Source organism: Homo sapiens, chromosome 16 (assembly GCF_000001405.40).
Source record: "Homo sapiens chromosome 16, GRCh38.p14 Primary Assembly".
Classification (NCBI taxonomy): Eukaryota; Metazoa; Chordata; class Mammalia; order Primates; family Hominidae; genus Homo; species Homo sapiens.
The window spans coordinates 29,342,794-29,365,298 of NC_000016.10; the positions used below are offsets into that span (position 1 = coordinate 29,342,794).

At 46.8% G+C, this 22,505-nt stretch overlaps 1 pseudogene across 1 annotated transcript in view; it reads left to right on the top strand.

The window, feature by feature from the left end:
• SNX29P2 (sorting nexin 29 pseudogene 2) overlaps positions 1–22,266 on the top strand; it is a 62,773-nt pseudogene extending 40,507 nt beyond the window's left edge. The window contains exons 6-9 of the transcript NR_002939.3: positions 12,994–13,175; positions 16,472–16,542; positions 18,457–18,702; positions 21,891–22,266. The product of NR_002939.3 is annotated as a sorting nexin 29 pseudogene 2 (transcript). The remainder of the gene's footprint in view (positions 1–12,993; positions 13,176–16,471; positions 16,543–18,456; positions 18,703–21,890) is intronic.
• The last annotated feature ends 239 nt before the right edge of the window (positions 22,267–22,505 follow it).

Below are 22,505 nucleotides of genomic sequence, written 5' to 3' on the forward strand. Positions count from 1 at the left end.
GATGTTCTTTTAATCACTGATATATCATCATCAGGTTATAGATTGGCAGTCAATTACAAGGTGATCGGGGCCATTCAGAATATACCAGAGACACAGTTACTGTTGCTGAGCTGCCTGTAAAATTGAAGTCTAATCTTCCCTGTCTGTTCGGCAGCCTTGGGCATCGAGGATCTTCTGACTTTGAAACACTGGCTTCCCTTGCTTTCTGTGATGCCATAGCCTATTGGCACACTTTCTTCTTTTCTGATCCTTGTTGGCATATCACTTCCATACCCTCAAATATTATTCATCCTTGGATTCATTGTTGGCTCTTGTTTCTATGCATACTGTTTGGATTCCTTGGTGAAGTTGCTCTGTATGTGCCTGTTATTCTTAGTCATACCCACAGCCCAGAGCACTTCCTCGAACTCTGTCTCATGAATGTCTCTATTTGGTGTACAGCACGGGCTTGTCAGTCTCCAAAACTGAATTCTGATCTTCATCCATATGTGTTCCTGTGTTTCTTGCTTAGTAAATGGCTCTGCCCTTTACCCAGGTCCCCTGGACAGCTCTTGGGCTTCCTCCCAGCCTTCTCCTTCTCCCTTTCCTCTGCCCCAAAACCAGTCCCACAAAGAGCACTGTTTTCTGTCTCTCACATGGGTCCCTGAGCCACGCGCGGTTCCTCCATCGTCAGTGAGTTCTCTTCTTTCTCCCCGACTTGTGTTTTCCTGCCTTCAGTCTTGATCAGCTCTGACGCACTTTGCATATCACGGAGTGGTCTTCTTTAATTACCATCCCACTCCCCCACTTATTCCCCATAACCCCACTAACTTAAAGCTCTTCCGTGGGTCTCTTGTAGAATTGGGACAAAGTATCGAGTGCTTGATATGGCTTCTTGGGCTCTCTTCCCTGCTGGCTGTGTCTGTCTCTGTTCTACCTCTTATGCCGTGCCGTACGCCAGGGCTGACAGGCAGCGGCAGGTCCAACATCACAACTCTTTCATCCAGTTTGCAAATAAATGATGGCCTGAGTCCCACAAGCTCCCCTCCTGCCACACCCCTGCCTTGGGACTCTTGAGACCTCTCCATAATTCAGCAGCTAAAGCACTAATGCCAGATCCTGTGTGGGGCAGGGCCTTCAGTGCCACTGCCTGTGCTTTGCTTGGTGCCTCTCAGTAATTTAGATGATTCAGTTCTGTTTTTTTTTTGTTTTTTTTTTTTTTTTTTTGAGACAGTGTCTTGCTCTGTTGCCCAGGCTAGAGTGCAGTGGTGTGATCTCGGCTCATTGTAGCCTCTGCCTTCTGGGTTCAAGTGATTCTCATGTCTTGGCCTCCTGAGTAGCTGGCACTACAGGTGTGTACCACCATGCTGCCTAATTTTTGTATTTTTGGTAGAGATGGGGTTTCCTCATGTTGGCTAGGCTGGTCTCGAACTCCTGGCCTCATGTGATCCACCTGCCTCAGCCTCCCAAAGTGCTGGGATTACAGGCGTTAGCCGCTGTTCCTGGCCCAATCCTGTATTTTGAACAGCTCTCCTGGTTTCTATTGTCTTGAAACTCTTCAAGTCTGGCAGTTCTTTCCCTTCTGCTACCTTCCTTCCTTCCCCAGCTCTCACCCAAGCTCCTACTGGCCAAACTTCTATTCTCTCTTAAAAAAAAATATGGCCGGGCCTGGTGGCTCATGCCTGTAATCCCAGCACTTTGGGAGGCTGAGGCGGGCGGATCATGAGGTCAGGAGATCGAGACCATCCTAGCTAACACGGTGAAACCCATCTCTACTAAAAATACAAAAAATTAGCCGGGCGTGGTGGCGGGTGCCTATAGTCCCAGCTACTTGGGAGGCTGAGGCTGGAGAATGGCATGAACCCGGGAGGCAGAGCTTGCAGTGAGCCGAGATCGTGGCACTGCACTCCAGCCTGGGCAACAGAGTGAGACTCCATCTCAAAACAAAACAAAACAAAACGAACAAAAAAAATTGGTAAAATATACATAATGAAATTTACCATTTCAGCCATTTGAAGTGTACAATTCAGTGTGAGTGTACTTAATGTACATTCACATGTCATACAGTAATCATTACCACCATTCATCTCAGAACCTTTCCACTTTTACAAACCAAAACTGTGTACTCGTTAAACACTAACACTCACTCCCTCCAGACCCCTGCCCCTGGCAGCCAGCATTCTACTTTCTGCCTCAGTGCATTCTACTACTTTAGGTTCCTTGTGCCAATGGAATCATGCAATATTTGTTCTTTTTTTGTCTGGCTTTATTTAGCATAACATCTTCATGGATCGTCCGTGTTGTAGTATGTGTCAGAATTTCCTTCTTCTTCTTTTTTTTGATGGAGCCTTGCTCTGTTGCCCAGTTTGCTAGAGTACAGTAAGTAGCGCTATCTCAGCTCACCACAACCTCTGCCTCCTGGGTTCAAGTGATTCTCCTGCCTCAGCCTCCCAAGTAGCTGGGACTATAGGCAGGCGCCACCATGCCCGGCTAATTTTTGTATTTTTAGTAGAGACGTGGTTTCACTATGTTGGCCAGGCTGGTCTCGAACCCCTGACCTCGTGATCCACCTGCCTCGGCCTCCCAAAGTGCTGCAATTACAGGCATGAGCAACCGTGCCTGGCCCAGAATTTTCTTCTTTTTAAAGGCTGAACAATATTTTTGAGGGTATGTAGAGCCCATATTTTGTTTATTCCCATGACAGTTGGGTGTCTTCCACTTATGGGCTATTGCGAATGGTACTGCTGTGAATATGAAGATACAAATACTTGTTTTTTCCACTTTTAGTTCTTTTGGGGCATATACCCACAAGGACAGTGCTGGATCATATGGTAATTCTATGTTTAATTGTTTTTTAGAAACCATCAGAGGGTTTTCCATAGAGGCTATACCCTGTTGCATTCCCACTAGCAATGCACACGAGGTCCATTTTCTCCACCATCCTTCCACATCCTTGCCAACTCCACAGCCTTGCCAGTGCTGGCTTTTTATTTATTTTTTTGAGATAGAATCTCGCTTTGTCACCCAGGCTGGAGTGCAGCAGTGTGATCTTGGCTCACTGCAGCCTCCACCTCCCAGGTTCAAGTGATTCTCCTGCCTCAGCTTCCCAAGTAGCTGGGATTACAGGCATGCAACACTGTGCCTGGCTAATTTTTGTATTTTTAGTAGAGGCAGGGTTTCACCATGTTGGCCAGGCTGGTCTCGAGCTCCTGGCCTCAAGTGATCTACCTGCCTTGGCCTCCCAAAGTGCTGGAAGTACAGGCGTGAGCCACTGTGCTCGGCCAATGCTGCCTTTTTAAATTAGAGAAAAGGTATACAGCTTTAATTGTATACATGGGGAGAACCAGAGAGTGATTACCACCCCCTTTTTTCATATATATATATATATATATATATATATATATATATATATATATAGTAATTTTATTATTTTTTGTAGGGACAGTATCTTACTATCTTGCCCAGGCTGGTCTCGAATTCCTTGCCCTAAGTGATCCTCTCACCTTGGCCTCTCAAAGTGCTGGGATTACAGGCCTGAGCCACCGTGCCTGGCCTCCTTTTTTCTGTTTTCATAATTGCCATCTTAATGGGTGTGAAGTGGTATCTCATGTGGTTTTGTTCTCTTCTCTCTTGAAGTTTCAGAATTGTTTTCAAAAAGCCATTCATGAGCTCCCTACATGGTTCAGCTGGACTGTGCCCCTCCTATAGTCCTGAGTTCTTCTTCCATCAAACCTATATATGGAACTACTTGTTTTCTTTTTTCTTTTCTTTTTCTTTTTTTTTTTTTTTTGAGATGGAGTCTGCTCTGTTGCCCATGCTGGAGTGCAGTGGCGCAATCTTGGCCCACTGCAGCCTATGCCTCCTGGGTTCAAGTGATTCTCCTGCTTCAGCCTCCTGAGTAGCTGCGATTACAGGTGCACATCACCATGCCTGGCTAAGTTTTATATTTTTAGTAGAGACGGGGTTTCATCATATTGGGCAGGCTGGTCTCGAACTACTGACTTCAGGTGATCCGCCTGCCTTGGCCTCCCAAAGTGTTAGGATTACAGGCTCATCCTTGTAGCTCTAGTGTCTTGCAAGGTACCTGGCCACCTGCACAGTAGAGGCCACCAAAGGACTGCATTCAAAATAACCACTTGAAGACCCTGACTTCAGAACATGCTGCTCATTTTCCCGGGAAGCCAAACCCCTACTCTCAGTGGTCTGTATGCATCTTTAGTCAGTGGGAAGCGGTGATAATATACCCACAACTGTAAAGTGAGAGAGACCGACTTCCTTAATCTTCAGTGGGGATTTTTGAAAATGGTTGATTGCACTCAAAGCAGAATTTGTATTTTGCTTCATTGGGTCACCTTGGGCAACAATTTCATTTCTGTAGAAAATTAATTTTGGAGGAAGCTGCATGTGCCAGGGGAGCCCTGGGTCCATCCTTTTGATGGTGAGGGGAAGTCCAGTTCCTCACTCGCCCATCCCTGCTTTTGGTTCCCTGTTGGTGATTTTCTTTTGTATTCATGCACGTGCAAATCAGCTGCTTTTGGTAAGGGAAGCCTTGGAAGGATGTCTGCTAAAGGTGCAGAGAAAATGCAGAGCTCCGTTCAAGGTGAAAAAAGTGGTTGACAACTGGCAGAAAGAAGCTGGCCTTAAGGAGGAAGTCAGAAGCCAGGGTGCTGTACCCCTTGGGCTGTGTGTTATCCTGGGTCACTGGATCATGGGGATGTCCACAGGGTCCCTCGAGGGTGGGTTCTTGACACCCAGGGTGGCAGGGACCTGGGCCAGTGGCTATTTACTAAGGGGTATGAATGTGTCCCAGCATGTTAAGATCTAGTGGAGCTGGACTGATACCTATTGGCCGAATGTGACCTCTGCCTGTTTCAAAGGTGTTTAATCCTGATGTCTCATAAATTAAGACTCAGGCCTGTAATCCCAGCACTTTGGGAGGCCGAGGTGGGTGGATCACTTGAGGTCTGGAGTTCGAGACCAGCCTGGCCAACATGGTGAAACCCCGTCTCCATTAAAAATACAAAAATTAGCTGGGCATGGTGGTAGGCACCTGTAATTCCAGCTACTTGGGAGGCTGAGGCAGGAGAACTGCTTGAACCCAGGAGGCGGAGGTTGCAGTGAGCTGAGACCGTGCCCTGGCACTCCAGCATGGGCGACAGAGCAAGACTCCACCTCAAAAAAAAAAGTAAAAAAGACTCAGTTTGGCCTCTGAGTTGTCAGTTTTTAGATCACAGTTATCCAGCCTGAGTTCCGTGGGTCCTTTGCTTTGCTCCTTTCAGAATGTAAATGACTCTTCAGCTCATGATGGCGTATGCCCCTAAAAGGAAGTGAGATACAAGTTTTAGAAGTCCTTCTTAGAAATTTCCCATTTTTTTTTTTTTTTTAAATAAGAGACAGGGTCTTGCTCTGTTGCCAGGCTAGAGTGCAGTGGTGCAATCATGGCTCTCTGCAGCCTTGAACTTCCTGGCTCAAGCGATCCTCCCACTTCAGCCTCTCAAGTAGCTGGGACTGCACATGCATGCCACTGTGCCTGGTTAATTTATTTCCTACTCTTTAATAAAGGAGGTGGTATGCTGTAAACTCTTGTAGGATGCGGGTGTGTTATGCTGAGCCCTGGTTCTGGAAGGCAGTCTTGTGGCTAGTTGGAAGTTGGTAGAGTGACAGAGCTCAGCCCCTTTTTGGCACTCTGCTCTGCCAATCCATTTGTGCCTTGCAGTCAGGCTGGTTCAGTTTGGGATGTGACAGATTTGGGAGCACTTGTATTCACTGAGTTCTCAGGCTGGCACATGAGTGAACTTGGTTTACCTTTGTTCCTGGCATGGCTGATACCATGTGTGGCTGATTCTGTTAGAGTGTGCCCTCAGATTCATCCCTCTGTCTTCTTTGGCTTTGATAGAACCCAGATTTTGCTTGAGGCTGTGGTATGTACTCCTTTATCTCGGTGAGGGATTAAGCCAGTTTTGAGTTTTGTTCTTTGCTTTCTCTGCTCCCTTGTGATTTTCTGGGATTACTTGTTCTTTCCTGATAAAAGGGGCGATAAAGCTGGCTTCATCCCATTCCCTTTCTTCCTGCTCAATTGTAAATGAGATGCCCAGAGTTAGGACAGTCCTCTGGGACAGCGAGGTCAAAAGGTTGGAGGTTTTGGCCTGACATAGCCTTTGTATCACTGGCCTATTTCCAGACTAGCCCAGCTCCATGGGGTTGGATTTTCTTTGTGTGTGGGTTTTTTTGTTTTGTTTTGTTTTTAGAGACAGGGCCTTGCTCTGTTAACTAGGCTGGAGTGCAGTGGTGCAATCATAGCTCATTACAGCCTCAAACTCCTGGGGTCCAGCCATCCTCCTGCCTCCGCCTCCCAAGTAGCTGGGACTACAGGTGTGTGCCGCCACACTCGGCTCCTTGTAGTTGGGTTTTCTGTTTCCTTTCTTTAGAGATGGGTTCTTACTATGTTGCCCAGGCTGGTCTTGGGTTTTCTGTTTTTTTCTTTTTTTTGTTTTTTTTTGAGATGGAGTCTTGCTCCATTGCCCAGGCTGGAGTGCAGTGGCACCATCTCGGCTCACTGCCAGCTCCGCCTCCCAGATTCACACCATTCTCCTGCCTCTGCCTCCCAAGTAGCTGGGAGTACAGGCGCCCGCCACCACACCCGGCTAATTTTTTGTATTTTTAGTAGAGATGGCGTTTCACCGTGTTAGCCAGGATGGTCTCGATTTCCTGACCTCGTGATCCACCTGCCTCGGCCTCCCAAAGTGCTGGGATTACAGGCGTGAGCCACCGTGCCCGGCGGGTTTTCTGTTTTTTTGTTGTTGTTGTTGAGCAATGCATTGTTTTGGGGCAGTGTTGTCACATTGATGAGACACCCCTCACCCCCCATGGCTGTGGAGCACAGGTGTTGCTCAGCACCTGGTGTGTTCTTGGTCTTCTATAGATGATTGTCAGATGACTGAAGAACATGCCCTGTCTCACTGCATTATTTCCTGTGGTTGCAAATGATAGAAAATTCTTTAGATTGATTTAAGAAAAAAAAAGATGAAGAAAATTAATTTATTTATTGACTCAAGTATCTAAGAAATCATCTTGGAGTTGAGCTGGATTCAGGGGGCCTGCCTTCTCCCAAATCTGTCTCCATCTGTCATCCCTCAGCACCGCTTCTCTGTGGTTGGGTGTCTTTCCGGGTGGGGGGTCTCTACATGATGGGGTGGAAAATGGCCCCAAGTAGCTCCAGGTTTCCAGGATGATGAGAGATCCTACTTCTAGGACGGGGTCGGCACACTCCCTCCTTATGGGTCGTATTATAGGGTTTGTGAGCCATGCAATCTCCATCGCAGTGACTCAGCTCTGCCACTGGAGCAGAAACTCAGCCACAGACCATATGGGAGCAAATGGGTGTGGCTGCGTTCCAAGAACACTGTGCTTACAGAAACAGTTTGGAGGCCAAATTTGACCCCCAGGCCGTTGTTTGCTGACCTCAGCTTCTGGAGGAGACAAGGCCTCTTTTCTGGTGGCTCTGGTAGAACTTGTGCGAAGGGACCCTGTGGTCCAGGGCTGAGACTGGGGTGAGGTTAGTGACACACTCACTTTGGCCACAAAATTGAAGGCGGTACCAAAAAACTTATCAATCAAGATAAATACTATTTTTATGTAATATTAAAAAAAATGAAAGTTGCATATGCCATGGTTCCGGCCAGTTAATTGCCTGCCCTGGGTTAGCTGTCCACCCCTGCAGTAGGGGGAGGTTAGGATAGTGCTGAAGGATCCCAGTGGAATGTGTTTCCCATAGGAAAGAGGGGTGCTCTTACTAGAAGAAAGGGAAAGGGACCAGGCTCGGTGGCTTACGCCTGTAATCCCAGTGCTTTGGGAGGCCGATGCTGGATGATCATTTGATTCTAGGAGTTCAAGACCAGCTTGAGTAACATAGTAAGACCCTCGCCTCTACAGAAAAAAAAAAATTAGCCGTGTATGGTGGTGTACACCTGTAGTCCCAGCTACTCATGAGCCTGAAATGGGAAGATCGCTTGAGCCCAGGAGTTCAAGACTGCAGTGAACTATGATCGTGCCACTGTGCTCTAGCCTGGGTGACAGAGTGAGACCTTGTCCCCACCCCACCCCTCAAAAACAAAACAAAACAAAAAAAAACCCAAACAAGGAAAAGGAATGCTGTTTGGTGCACGTGTAGTAGTGATATTAATAGTTGGTTTTCATTGAGCACCAATTATATGCCAGGTATGTTAATAACTATGGCTAACATTTATTCACTGCATTTATTGGATACACTTTACATGTATTCCTTTTTCTCATTTTTCCCTCATAGCAATCCATACACATAGGTACTGTTCTCCCCACTGTACAGATGAAGAAAGTAGAGGACAAAATAAGTTTCCCAAGGTCACACAGTGCCTGAACTAGAATTTGGGACAAGGTTTTTGTCTTCCTTGTGGTCCCCAAGGTATGAATTCTTGGGCATCGGTGATAGTTAAGGCTTGATAGAAACTTTCCCAAAAGCCTGGTGCTGTTAGTCATCCTCTGTTAATAGGTGTCCCGGGGCAGCTGTTCTCAACACCCCTTCCTGGCACTTGTTCTTGTTGGCATTCGGCTTTCAGGTGTTTGGAGAACCAGAAGCCCTTGCCTGCTTTTTGACTTAACCCCATGTTTCAAAGCAGATCAATGTATATCCCTAAATTAAATTATGGACACCGCAGGCGCTAATTGGCAGGTGAGCTGCACTTTAAATAGACCACATTAATTCTGGCAGTGGAAGCGGAACCCTGCTGGGATAATTCTTATCATCAGCAGCATCACCCTGACAAGCTTTAAAAGGATTCTGTAGCAGTAAGCAATTTTGCAGAATTGAAAGGTGAAAACACACTTTAAAGCGTTCATGTAGATTCAAGGTCGGAGGGAGGTGACTGCATTTTTCAAGACAGGCTGCAAGTGAGAGTCACTTGACTGGAAATGTGATGGACGTACCGACAATGGTCTGGGGTATTTTGAAATACGTTGTTGGCCAGCTGGCCCAGGGCGTTGTTGTCGCCAGATTCCCCGTCCTGGTTTCTGAGTGAGGTGGAGAGTGGAAGGAAGGCTGTTTTGTACAGTTGTGTGGATTAGACTGATCGGATGAGCTTGGGAAGTGGATTAGTTTGACATTTAGGGATCGAGACAGAAGACAGTCTTGAGGGACCTGCCCTCTTGCTGGTTTTTGTTATTCCTGGGAAGTTTATTCTAAATGATCCCAGTGATTGGCTTGATCCACAAATACTTATGCACGCTCATACGGATGTATACATTTAGATGCTGCTAACACAAAAAGGAACCCACGCGAATGCCCTCTGCTGTGAAGGGAATTAATTATTAAGCAAATGCTGATTGGTCATCATGGACTGGGCACTGTGCTCGGTGCTTTCCTTCCCTTTCTAGTTACCCTAGTAACCCTGGGCGATTCTGCACTTTTGTGTTGATTTTATGGGAGAGGATTTTCAGGCTTAGCATGGTTGAGTGACTTGCTCAAGGTCATTTGGTTGAATGGACTTTTTCTCTGTTGTCCTGCCTGCTAGACTGGAAGCCCCTTAGGGACGAGTTCTTGTTGTCTCTAGCTGGTGACACATAGCCTAGCTCGGTTCACAGCTCCCAGGAAGAATGCAGTGGATCCTAGTGAAGTTGAATTGAAACATTAGAGTGAACTTAACTAGCCTGCCATGCAGTTTCTGGAGATGGGTGTACTTGCCTCCTTCTGGAAGGCAGGTTCAAAGCCTTTGTCATGTTTCAGAGGGGACTGTGAGCCTGTTTAGCTCCTAGATTGGAAGCCAGGTCCGACTGCAAAGACTCAGCTTCCCCCACTTGGAATATTAAACAGTTGTGAACGTGATCATTTTGAAGAAGGCCAAGTCCCCTCATTTTGCAGGGCAGTGTGATTTAGTGGTTTGCAGTGAGCTCTGGGGTCCCTTTCTGCCATACTGTTTACTAATTGTGTTGCTGGGTGAGTCGCTTCACTTGTCCTGGCTTCAGACCTTGTCTTTCACATGGAGATGGCCTTGGTTGTGATGATGTCAGATGTAAAGTGTTTACTGCAATGGCTGGTGCAAAGTTAATGCTCAGTAAATAGTAGTTGCTGTTGCTGCTGTTATTATTATTGCCAGCATGAAAAACTGTTAAAGAGCCAATGTTAAGTGAAGAAAATTGATCACAAAATTATGTATACACTAGCATTACAACTATGAAAATATCTGGGGTTGGGCATGGTGGCTCCCGACTGTAATCCTAGCATTTTGGGAATCTCAGGCAAGAGGATCGCTTGAAGCCAGGAGTTTGGTACTAGCCTGCACAACATAGCAGAATCTCATCTCTACAAATAAATAAAAATTAAAAAATTAGCTGGGCATGGGGGTGCGTGCCTGTGTCTCAGCTACATGGGAGGCCGAGACAGGAGGATCACTTGAGCCCAGGACGTTGAGGCTGCAGTGAGCTCCAGCCTGGGTGACAGAGGGAGAGGCCCTGTCTCAAAAATAAATAAATAATAATTAACTTAAAATGTATATAAAAAATTTTAAAAATCTGTGTACATGTGGATAAAAAGTGGTGGGATGTGAGGAGATACAAGTAGTTGTAGGAATGACTGTCTTATGGATAAAAACAAACTTTCTTAGGTTTCCCATAACGCCTTAAATCTGTTCCTATCCTCAGACTGAGTAATTTGACATGTGGAAATCTTTCCTAAGGAACTAGGAATGAGGACAATTATTTATGTATAGGGGTGTTCTTTACTGTACAGAGGGAAAGTTGGCCATGTGCCATGCCCTTAGCAGTATGGAAATAGTTGTTTTACTGGAAAGCCATCAAAAATCATCTTTGAAAGACTTTTAATTGTAATAGGAAAATGTTCATGCTCTAGACAAGAAAATAAATGAATCAGGATCCAAATTACACATACAAATATGTATGCGTATACACTCATACAATATGATGTGGTTTTATTTATTTATTTTTTGAGACAGAGTGGAGTGGAGTGGCGTGATCTTGGCTCTCTGCAACCTCCGCCTCCTGGGTTCAAGTGATTCTCCTGCCTCAGCCTCCCAAGTAGCTGGGACTACAGGCGTGCACCACCACGCCCAGCTAATTTTTGTATTTTTAGTGGAGACATGGTTTCACCATTTTGGCCAGGATGGTCTCGATCTCTTGACCTCGTGATCTGCCTGCCTTGGCCTCCCGAAGTGCTGGGATTACAGGCGTGAGCTACCACGCCAGCCTGTTTTTTTTTTTTGAGACAGAGTCTTGCTCTGTCGACCAGGCTGGAGTACAGTGGTGTGATCTCGGCTCACTGCAACCTCCGCCTCCTGGGTTCAAGTGATTCTCCTGCCTCAGCCTCCTGTGTAGCTGGAATTACAGGCACCTGCCACCATGCCTGGCTCATTATTGTATTTTTAGTAGAGATGGGGTTTCACCATGTTGGCCAGGCTGGTCTCGAACCCCTGACCTCAGATGATCCGCTCGCATCGGCCTCCCGGAGTGCTGGGATTACAGACATGAGCCACTGTGCCTGGCCTGATGTGTTCTTTTCTTCTGGCTGCTGTAACAAATTAATACACAATTGGTGGCTTTTAAACACTATAATTTATTCTCCCACAGTTCTGGAGGCCAGAAGTCCCCAATCCATTTCACTGGGCTAAAGTCAAGGTGACAGCAGGGCTGCTTCCTTCCAGAGGCTTCAGGGCCGAATCCGTTTCTGGCCCTTCCAGAGTCTGCTCGCTGCCCACCTTCCTTGGCTATGGCTGCCCCATTCTAGTCTTTGCTTCTCTGGCCACATCATGTCCTCCTCTTCTGTGTCAAGTTTCTCTCTGCCTGCCTCTTATGAAGATCTTGTGATTACATCAGCCTCACAGGGATTATGCAAGATAACCTCCCAGTTTCCAGATCCTAACACAGTTGCACAGACTCTTTTACTATATAAGGTAATATTCAGAGAATTCTGGAGCTTAGGACGTCGATATCTTTGAGGATTATAATTCAGCCTACAGCAAATGTTGATTTTATTATAAAAAAGAAAAGTGCAGTAAAAAAGACTGAAAATTCTTGAAAATGTCAATATTGGTCTTTTCTGGATGAGAGGTTTTAGAGTCATTTTTATTTTTGATATACTCTTCTGTATCTCCCACCTTTTTTTCTTATTTCATTATTGTTTTTGAGGCTGAGTCTTGTTCTGTCACCAGGCCAGAGTGCAGTGGTGCAATCTCAGCTCACTGCAACCTCCGTCTCCTGGTTTTAAGTGATTCTCCTGCCTCAGCCCGCCCGGTAGGTGGGATTACAGGTGTGCGCCACCATGCCCAGCTAATTTTTGCATTTTTAGTAGAGATGGGGTTTTACTGTGTTGGCCAGGCTGGTCTTGAACTCCGAGCCTCAAGTGATCCACCACATCAGCCTCCCAAGTGCTGCGATTACAGGCATGAGCCACCGTTCCCAGCCTCAATTTTTATTTTAGATTCAGGGGGTACATGTGCAGGTTTGTTACCTGGGTACATTGTGTGATGCCGAGGTTCAGGGCACGATTGAACCCATCTCCCAGGTAGTGAACATAGTACCTGGTAGGTAGTTTTTCCGTCCGTGCTCTCCTCCCTCTCTACTCTCTCTAGCAGCCCCCAGTGTCTGTTGTTTGCCATCTTTATGTCTGTGTGTACCCAGTGTTTAGCTTCCATTTATAAGTGAGACTATCCAATATTTCGTTTTCTATTTCTGTGTAATTCGCTTAGGATAATGGCCTCCAGTCATCCATGTTGCTGCATAGGACACAATTTTGTTCTTTTTCAAGGCTGCATAGTATTCCTTGTGTAAATGTACCACATTTTGTTTATCTAGTCCACTATTGATGAGTATCTGGGTTGATACCATGTCTTTGGTGTTATCTCCTACCTTTTCCATGCTAAGGGGATACTCTGTTACAATCTCCAACATCGCCTAGAGGCTTTGTGTGTTCCTCTCCCAGTGCTGAGTGCCCCAGGCCGAGTGCCAGGCACCTGTGCCCTCTCTCCGTAGAGCCCGTGTTCTGGTACTACGTGAAGGAGGTCCTCAACAAGCACGAGCTGCAAGCGCTTCTACTCCCTGCGCCACATCGCCTCAGACGTGGGCCGGGGCCGCACCTGGCTGCGCTGTGCCCTCAACGAACACTCCCTGGAGCGCTACCTGCACATGCTCCTGGCCGACCGCTGCAGGCTCAGGTACGTGGCCGGGATGGGACCTGGAATGGGATGGAGCAAGGGGTGAAGATCTTGGAGTCTGTAGTCAGACCACCTGGATTTTCATCCTAGTTCCCCGATCTGGGGCAAGTGGGCCTCCCTCTGACAGCTCCGGAGTGTTCTGCTGAGCTGTGGAGAAACTTGGGGGAGAATCATTGAGAGACTGCCTGTAATGGGCTCGGCATGGCACTTGCATACAGCCAGCTTGGATGTGGAGAGAGCTGTTGTCCTAGGACATAGCTTCCTCTTCACTTTCTGGATTTTTTTTTTTTTTTTTTTTTTTTTAAGACAGAGTCTTGCTTTGTTTCCCAAGTTGGAGTGCAGTGGCATGAACACGGGTCATTGTAGCCTGGACCACCCTGGCTCAAGCAATCCTCCCACCTCAGCCTCCTGACCAGCTAGGACCCTAAGTGTATGCCACCCTGCCTGGCTAATTTAAAAAATTGTTTTGTAGCGATGGGGTCTCAGTGTGTTGCCCAGGCTGGTCTCGAACTCCTAGGTTCAAGTAATCTTCCCGCCTCAGCCTCCCAAAGTGCTGGGATTACAGGTATGAGCTACCATGCCAGGTGCAGAATTTTAATTTGGGATTCTTGCATTCATTCAATCCCAAACTGAAAAAAACATGGAAATTTTATATTGGGGAAGGAAGTCATTTTTGTTTGTTTGTTTGTTTTTGAGACGGAGCCTCACTCTGTTGCCCAGGCTGGAGTGCACTGCTGCTATCTGGGCTCACTGCAACCTCCATCTCCCCAGTTCGAGTGATTCTCCTGCCTCAGCCTCCTGAGTAGCTGGGATTACAGGCGTGTACCACCATACCCAGCTGATTTTTTGTATTTTTAGTGCATACGGGGTTTAATCATGTTGGCCAGGCTGGTCTCAAACTCCAGACCTCAGGTGATCCACCCGCCTAGGCCTCCCAAAGTGCTGGGGTTACAGGCGTGAGCTACTGTGCCTGGCCGTGGCCATTACTTTTGCTCTGAGAATGGTGGACTAGACAAGTTGTTTTGTGTCCTTGAGTGATACGGAGTGACCCTGATGAATCCTGTTCTGGTTCCTTAAGTAACTTCCTGATCAGCACCGCCCAGATCTTCAACAGTGAAATTTCACTGAATTCAATAAGTGGGCAGCTTGTGAGTAGTGTGGCGTGTTCCCTTGATTTTATATCTTGCCCTGTGTTCCCTAGTTTAGGTCTCCTCTTCTGCTTTATCTACTGCTGTGGTCACCTCTCTACTGGTAATGTCTCAGATCTTCTGGGATTGTGCACTGGGGCTCTTAAAAATACCCTTAAAGTTCTCTGTTGCCTGTGGCTCCTTGTTCAATTGTATGGCAAGACTCTATGTGTCCAAAATGGGAGGGCTTGGGAGCCAGGAGGACTGACACTGACGACACCTGTGTACTGCTCACGGTCGGAGTTCGGAGGCTGAGAATGTCTGGACCTCTAGGGCATTAACCAGCTTTAGTTAAGGAAAACACACTCCTGTTTCTTTCTTTCCTTTTTTTGGAGAAGTCTCGCTTTTTTGCCTAGACTGGAGTGTAGTGGTGCAATCTTGGCTCACTGTAACCTCTGCCTCCTGGGTTCAAGCGATTCTCCTTGCCTCAGCCTCCCGAGTAGCTGGGTCTACCAGTGCCCACCACCATGCCTGGTTAATTTTTTGTATTTTTAGTAGAGACGGGTTTCACCGTGTTAGCCAGGATGGTCTCGATCTCCTGACCTCGTGATCCTCCCACCTCGGCCTCCCAAAGTGCTGGGATTACAGGTGTGAGCTACTGTGTCTGACCTACTCCTTTTTTTTGAAGTGAATTTCTGTGAAGCTCCTTCCAGCATATCATTTACGGGTAGTTCAGAGTTACATACTCAGTCTCAAAGTTGAAGTGACCAACAAGGAGAAGTCAGTCCAGCAGGTAAGAATCACAGTTGACTTTACCTGGATCACCAGCCACTTCCCCAGCTGGATGTTGGGAAAACACATTCATTTAGATGCGTGAAAACGGGCTCAGATTTTTAAAGGATTATGATTTTAGGAATCAGGTGCAGTCAGAATGTCAGCTTGAGCATGTGGTTTGTACGTCTACTAACATTTTCTGGGAAAGTATATTGGAAATGCTCCTCTTCTTTCTTTCTGTTAGTTGTATTCAGTCACTTCAGTGGCTAATTTTTCCAGTCTCTCACTCAACTACAGGTCATGTATCCCTGACTTTGCTTTAGTGAAATTGACTTTTTCCTTGATTAATTTAGAATTCAATGACCTGGCGGGGAAGTTATGGCATTGGGGATTTTTGGTTTCCATTGCTTAACATGAAGTCAGAGAGAGCTTGGAAGCTGGACTCGGGAGACCTGCTTTTAAGCCCTGGCTGGACCATTTATTGGCTAGATGACCTTGGACAGGCCCTGTGGGCTTCCTTGACACCCCTACCCCAACTGCCATCTAGATTTGTGGGGCATTTTTAGCCTCCTAGCCTTTTCCAAGGATAATGTGGGCTTTCAGGCCTGTAACCTAGGCAGGCATTATATTATTATTATTATTATTATTATTATTATTATTTTGAGGTGGAGTCTCGCTCTTTCGCCCAAGCTGGAGTACAGTGGCGCAATCTCTGCTTACCAAGCCTCTGGGTTCAAGCGACTCTCCTGCCTCAGCCTCCCGAGTAGCTGGGATTACAAGCACCTGCCACCATGCCCAGCTAATTTTTTATATTTTTAGTAGAGATGGGGTTTCACTGTGTTGGCCAGGCTGGTCTTGAACTCCTGACCTCTAGTGATCCTCCCACCCTGGCCTCCCAAAGTGCTGGGATTACAGGTGTGAGCCACCGTGCCTGGCCAAGGCAGGCATTATATTAAATGCCCTGGTTGATGAAGCCATAGAGGCTCTGTAATTTCTGTCTGAAATGGTCTCTTCTTGTATTAGGCAAATCAGGCGAGCCCTGTTGGCAGGCTTGGATTTCCTGTCTGTCTCTTGGGGACATTGCTTGAGTGGAAGTCACCCACCTGACTGCTCCGTTCTACTTTGCTGCTTTATAAATACATTTACATATCATGTCTATTTTAGTACTCTAAAGCTGAGGGTCGGGGGGGACCAGCGAGGAAGTTGTAGGATGTATGTGTTCAATCTTCTGTTTGTAACCAGAAGCTTTAAACCAGCAGAGACCTCAGACAAATCATATCCCTCCTGGGGTGACCAGGTGCAGATCTTCCAGGGAGCCGTCTAATGGAATTTCCTGGTTAATGGACACAGAGAACCACTGCTAAGAACGATTTCCTTTTCTCTTTCAATCTGCAGTACTTTTTATGAAGACTGGTCTTTTGTGATGGATGAAGAGAGGTCCAGTATGCTTCCTACCATGGCAGCAGGTAAGCCTGGCCCAGACCAGGGCGCCAGGCCTTGTGACACATGGCAGAGGGGCTGCCTTGGGGCAGTTCCACAGCGCCATGGAATGTTGTGATTCTTCTGTCCCTCAACAACTCAATGAGTCACTTGCTGCTGTCCTTCTTTTACTAGCACTGAATGTTGGTTTTTAAATTTTTATTTCTTTAAAGAGAGAGCCTCACTCTGTCACCCAGGCTGGAGTGCAGTGATGCAACCTCAGCTCACTGCAACCTCCGCCTCCTGGATTCAAGTCATTTTTCTATCTCAACCTTCCGAGAAGCTGGGATTACAGGCGCCTGCCACCACGCCCAGCTAATTTTTGTATTTTAATAGAGATAGAGTTTCACTATGCTGGTCAAGCTGGTCTCGAACTCTTGGGCTCAAGTGATCCACCCGCCTTGGCCTTCCAAAGCGTTGGGATTGCAGGTGTGAGCCACCATGCCCAACCACAGTGTTGGGTCCATTTATCTAGAATGTGAGACCCTGGCAGAGAAAGCGAAGATTTGAAGGTTTTTAGTTGGGCTTTGGAGATATAATATGCATTGCGGGGAATTGGAGGTGGGAGACCTATCTTTGAATCCTGGCTTTACTCCTTGCTACCTGGTGACCTGGGGCAGATGCCGTAAGCTTTGCTGCCTTTTCTTTCCTCTCTGTGAGGTGGGAATCATGCTGTCTCAGCAGTCATCTTCATGGGGCTGTGAGAGAATCATGTGAGATCAGGAGTCGCACACACGACGAATCAACATGGAGAGACCCTGGGTTGATGTTAGTCGGTGGACTGTTACATTGTTCACCCTTTGACTCAAAGGGTGAAAGGTGGAATCAGCTGGACTGAAGTGGGCAACTTGCTTCCTCTTTCCAAGTTCTTTGTTGCCTCCTTTTTGTTTTTCCTTGAAAATTTATACTAAACTCATATATCTGGGCTTATGTTAGTCCTGTCCATTGATGAGAAAAAGAATTTGACCATGATTTCCTTTGTAGATCATAAGATGCCCAGTGTAAGTTTCTGTCCACATTAATGATGATGATGTTACCAGTGCACATTTGATGGTTTATGGAGCTGAGTGTTTTGTGAGAGATTGCCTTTAATACTTACAATCCTGTGAGGAAGATAATATTGTCCCCATCTTACAGATAAGGCGACTGGAGTACAGGGAGATGATAAGTTGCTGGACCAAGGTCTTTTTTTTTTTTTGAGACGGAGTTTCACTCTTGTTGCCCAGGCTGGAGTGCAATGGCATGATCTTGGCTCACCACAACCTCTGCCTCCTGGGTTCAAGCGATTCTCCTGCTGCAGTCTCCTGAGTAGCTGGGATTATAGGCATGCACCACCACGCCTGGCTAATTTTGTAGTTTTAGTAGAGATGGGGTTTCTCCATGTTGGTCAGGCTGGTCTCGAACTCCCGACCTCAGGTGATCCGCCTGTCTCAGCCTCCCAAAGTGCTGGGATTACAGGTGTGAGCCACCATGCCCAGCCTGGATCAAGGTCTTGTAGCTAGTAGGTGGCAGTGCTGGGATTTACCCCCAGGCAGCCTGATCCCGGGACTTGTGCCTTTACCTCCTCCCAGTTGAATTCTTATTCATATTCATCTTCCTGGCTGTTAGGGAGAGAATGTGGCATGACTCAACTCCCATGATAACGGATGTCTGCTGACCCCAGTTTCATGGGAGGTTGTTTTTTTTTTTTTTTTGGAAGCCAAGTCTTGCTCTGTCACCCAGGCTGGAGTGCAGTGGCACGATCTCGGCTCCCTGCAACCTCTGTGTGGCAGGTATTTTTATACCTATTTAAGATCAACGTGTCTCCTCTTCTGTAATCTGTTGTCTGCAGCTGTCTTCTCTTATTGGTGGTATGACTGCCCATCAGCAAGCACTCCAGACTTTTCCCTTTTTTTGGACAGGTCCGAACTCCATACTCTTTGCGATTAACATTGACAACAAGGATTTGAACGGGCAGAGTAAGTTTGCTCCCACCGTTTCAGACCTCTTAAAGGAGTCAACGCAGAATGTGACCTTGCTGAAGGAGTCCACGCAAGGAGTGAGCAGCGTGTTCAGGGAGATCACAGCCTCCTCTGCCATCTCCATCCTCATCAAACCTGAACAGGAGACCGACCCCTTGCCCGTCGTGTCCAGGAATGTCAGTGCTGGTGAGTGGGAACTGGTGCTCGAGGCGGAGCAGAGGGAATCAGAATGTGGCTGATGGGGTGGACATACCTCATCATCTGAAAGTCATTCCAAGGGGAATGGAGTCCAGTGCACTTGCGTTTTCCATTTGTGTTTCTGTTTCTCATCCTCATTCACTCTGAAAGGGCTCTGATGGCCTTACCTAGATGTGAGAATTGCTGGGTGGAAAAATGAACAGCTCAACCAGAGCGAATGGAAAGTGAGGGTGTGAGAGACACCGGGAGCCAGATGACGTTGATCCTCATTCATTCATTCCTTTATTTGTTCCTTCATCGTATTCTGTGTGTTAGGCGGTGAGCCGAATAGGAAAGACAGATTGCCAGCAGGTAGCCTGCAGTCTCCTTTGGGATGGGTGTGGGTGGGTAGTTCATGACAAAATATATAATTTAGGATCCTTAGGATAAGAGGGATGAAAGCCAAGCATAGACTGCTATGGGGAACATCTGCCATTGGGCTTGCCTCTGATTGGGGATGGCATTTAAGGCCTCAGGAAAGAGAGGAGTTGTCAGGTTTGACTCTAGGCTCTGGGGAGGCAAAAGAGAGTTGATTCAGGCTGGGCATGGTGTCTCATGCCTGTAATCCTAGCACTTTGGGAGGCCGAGGCAGGAGGATCACTTGAGTTCAAGGGTTCTAGACCAGCCTGGGCAATGTAGTGAGACCCTGTCTCAATTTTTTAACTTTTTTTTTTTTTTTTTTTGAGACAGAGTCTCGCTCTATTGCCCGGGTTGGAGTGCAGTGGCATGATCTCAGCTCACTGCAACCTCCACCTCCTGGGTTCAAGCAATTCTCCTGCCTCAACCTCCCGAGTAGATGGGACTATAGGCATGTGCCAACATGCCTGGTTTCTTTTTGTATTTTTAGCAGAGACAGGGTTTCCCCATGTTGGCCAGGCTGGTCTTGAACTCCTGACCTCAGGTGATCTGCCTGCCCTGGCCTCTTAAAGTGCTAGGATTACAGGCGTGAGCCACTGTGTCCAGCCTGTTTTTAAAAAATTTTAATTAAAAAATTAAATATAAAAAAAGAAAGTTGATTCAGTTAAGATTAATTTGGTGAGAAGTTTTCAATACCCTTTGATTCCTTTGGGACATTAAGATGTTACTACAGCAAAATTGGAAATTTTGTTGTAGTATGTATGTGTATATATGTAGAGACAGGGTCTTGCCATGTTGCCCAGGCTGGTCTTGAACTCCTGGCCTCAAGTGATCCTCCTGCCTTGGCCTCCCAAAGTGCTGGGATTACAGGTGTGAGCCACTGCATCTGGTTGAAATTGGAAATTTTGGGCTTAAGTACTTAGTATTCTCAAATCTCTTAAACAAGGCAGTAACTGTGGCCATCCCTTTGGAATTATTGATGGTGACCCTGCATGAACCTTGTAGGAGATAGGGCTGTTGACAGCTTTGTGTAACAGACACTGAAATTTCTACACCCACAGGAGTAGCAGTCCCACCCATTTTTGGAACTGCTTTTGAGGTGATCTCAGAGTTGTGCTATACCAGTGAGGCCTCACCACATCACACATTGGTTTAGACAGATTGGGTTTTTGGAATTGGCTCAAAGTGTCTTACATCCAAGTGTGATGATTAAAATAGGGGCACAAAGTGTCTTCTGTGAGAGCTGGTCACTAAGGCAAGCTTGATTTCTTTTTCAGTTAGCATTTGCTATATAACAAGTGATTTAAAAATGTAGTGGCTTAAAACCACCGCAGTTCGTTACTTTTTTGTGTAGGTTGGCATGGTGGCTCTGCTGCTGGGCTCCTTCGGCTCACTCATGGGAGCTCGTGGTTAGATTGGAAGATCTAAGATGGCCCCATCCACATGTCTGGAATCAGTGCTGGGGCTGCTCAGATTCTACTCATGGACTCTCATCCTCCAGTCGGCTGAACTGGCTTCTTTATGTATGGGGTCAGGGCCACTGTCCAGGAGAGCAAAGGCAAAGCTGAGACCTTTTAACGCCTAGCTACTAGAACTCACACAGTGTTATTTCTGCCACTTTTTTTTTTTTTTTTTTTTTTTTGAGACAGAGTCTCGCTCTGTCACCCAGACTGGAGTGCAATGGCGCAGTCTCAGCTCACTGCAACCTCTGCCTCCCATGTTCAAGAAATTCTCCTGCCTCAGCCTCCCAAGTAGCTGGGATTACAGGCACCTGCCACCACGCCCAACTAATTTTTTTTTTTTTTTGTATTTTTAATAGAGACGGGGTTTCACCGTGTTTGCCAGGCTGGTCTTGAACTCCTGACCTCAGGTGATCCACCCGCCTTGACCTCCCAAAGTGCTGGGATTATAGGCATGAGCCACCGCACCCGGCCCTTTCTGCCACATTCTTTTGGTAAAAGCAGGGCATGGTGGCTCATGCCTATAATCCCAGCAATTTAGGAGGCTGAGGTGGGAGTATTGCTTGAGGCCAGGAGTTTTGAGACTAGCTTGGGAAGCACAGCAAGACCTCATCTCTACAAATAATAATAAAATTAGCTGGGTGTTGTGGCATGCACCTGTAGTCCCAGCTACTCGGGAGGCTGAGGGCAGAGGATTGTTTGATCCCAGGAATTTGAGGTTACAGTGAGCTATGATTGCACCAATATACTCCAGCCTGGGCAATAGAGCGAGATGCCCCAACTCTTAAAAAAAAAAAAAAAAAAAAAAGGCAGAGCACTACGCCAGCCAGATTCAAGAGGGTGCAGAAATAGACATCACCTCTGGCTGGGAGGAGCCACAAAGACCCATTGCAAAGGGGCATTGCACAGGAATGGCAGGAATTTGAGGCTGCTCAACACTTGACTACACCCCCCAGCTGGTTCTCCTGGTCTCATCTACCAGCTATGAGAATATTTTCCAAAGTGAAGCATTGAAGATCATTTTGGTAATGGTAGCATCCTTCACATCAAAGTGACTGCTTGGAAGGAACAGTTTCAAGGTGTGCTCTGTGGTGTGTTTATTTAAATCAGTGGGAGAGGCCTGCATCCATTCTGCTCAATCTTCTGTACACAGATTTTCACTGAGGATTTTAAAAAGTCTGAATTCATGTTACAGTGTATTTCTCACTAGAATAGTATTTTCCACAACCTGGAAGTGAGTTGGTTTCATCATCCTTTTGTCTTGCCTACTTTTTCTTATACTGTATCTTTTCTTTTTTTTCTTTTTTTTTTTTTTGCCAGATGCCAAATGCAAAAAGGAGCGGAAGAAGAAAAAGCAAGTGACCAACATTATCTCATTTGATGATGAGGAAGATGAGCAGAACTCTGGGGACATGTTTAAAAAGACACCTGGGGCAGGGGAGAGCTCAGAGGACAACTCCGACCACTCCTCTGTCAATATCATGTCCGCCTTTGAAAGCCCCTTCGGGCCAAACTCCAATGGAAGTCAGAGCAGCAACTCGTGGAAAATTGATTCCCTGTCTTTGAACAGGGAGTTTGGGTACCAGAAGCTTGATGTGAAAAGCATCGATGATGAAGATGTGGATGAAAACGAAGATGACGTGTATGGAAACTCATCAGGACGGAAGCACAGGGGCCACTCAGAGTCGCCCGAGAAGTAAGTTCCCCTCACGCTTCTGTGTGTGTGTGTGTGTGTGTGTGTGTGTGTGTGTGTTTGTATGTAAGATGGAGTCTCACCGTCCCCCAGGCTGGAGTGCCGTGGCGTGATCTCAGCTCACTGCAACCTCCACCTCCCGGGTTCAAGCGATTCTCCTGCCTCAGCCTCCCGAGTAGCTGGGATTGCAGGCACCTGACACCACACCCAGCTAATTTTTGTATTTTTAGTAGAGATGGGGT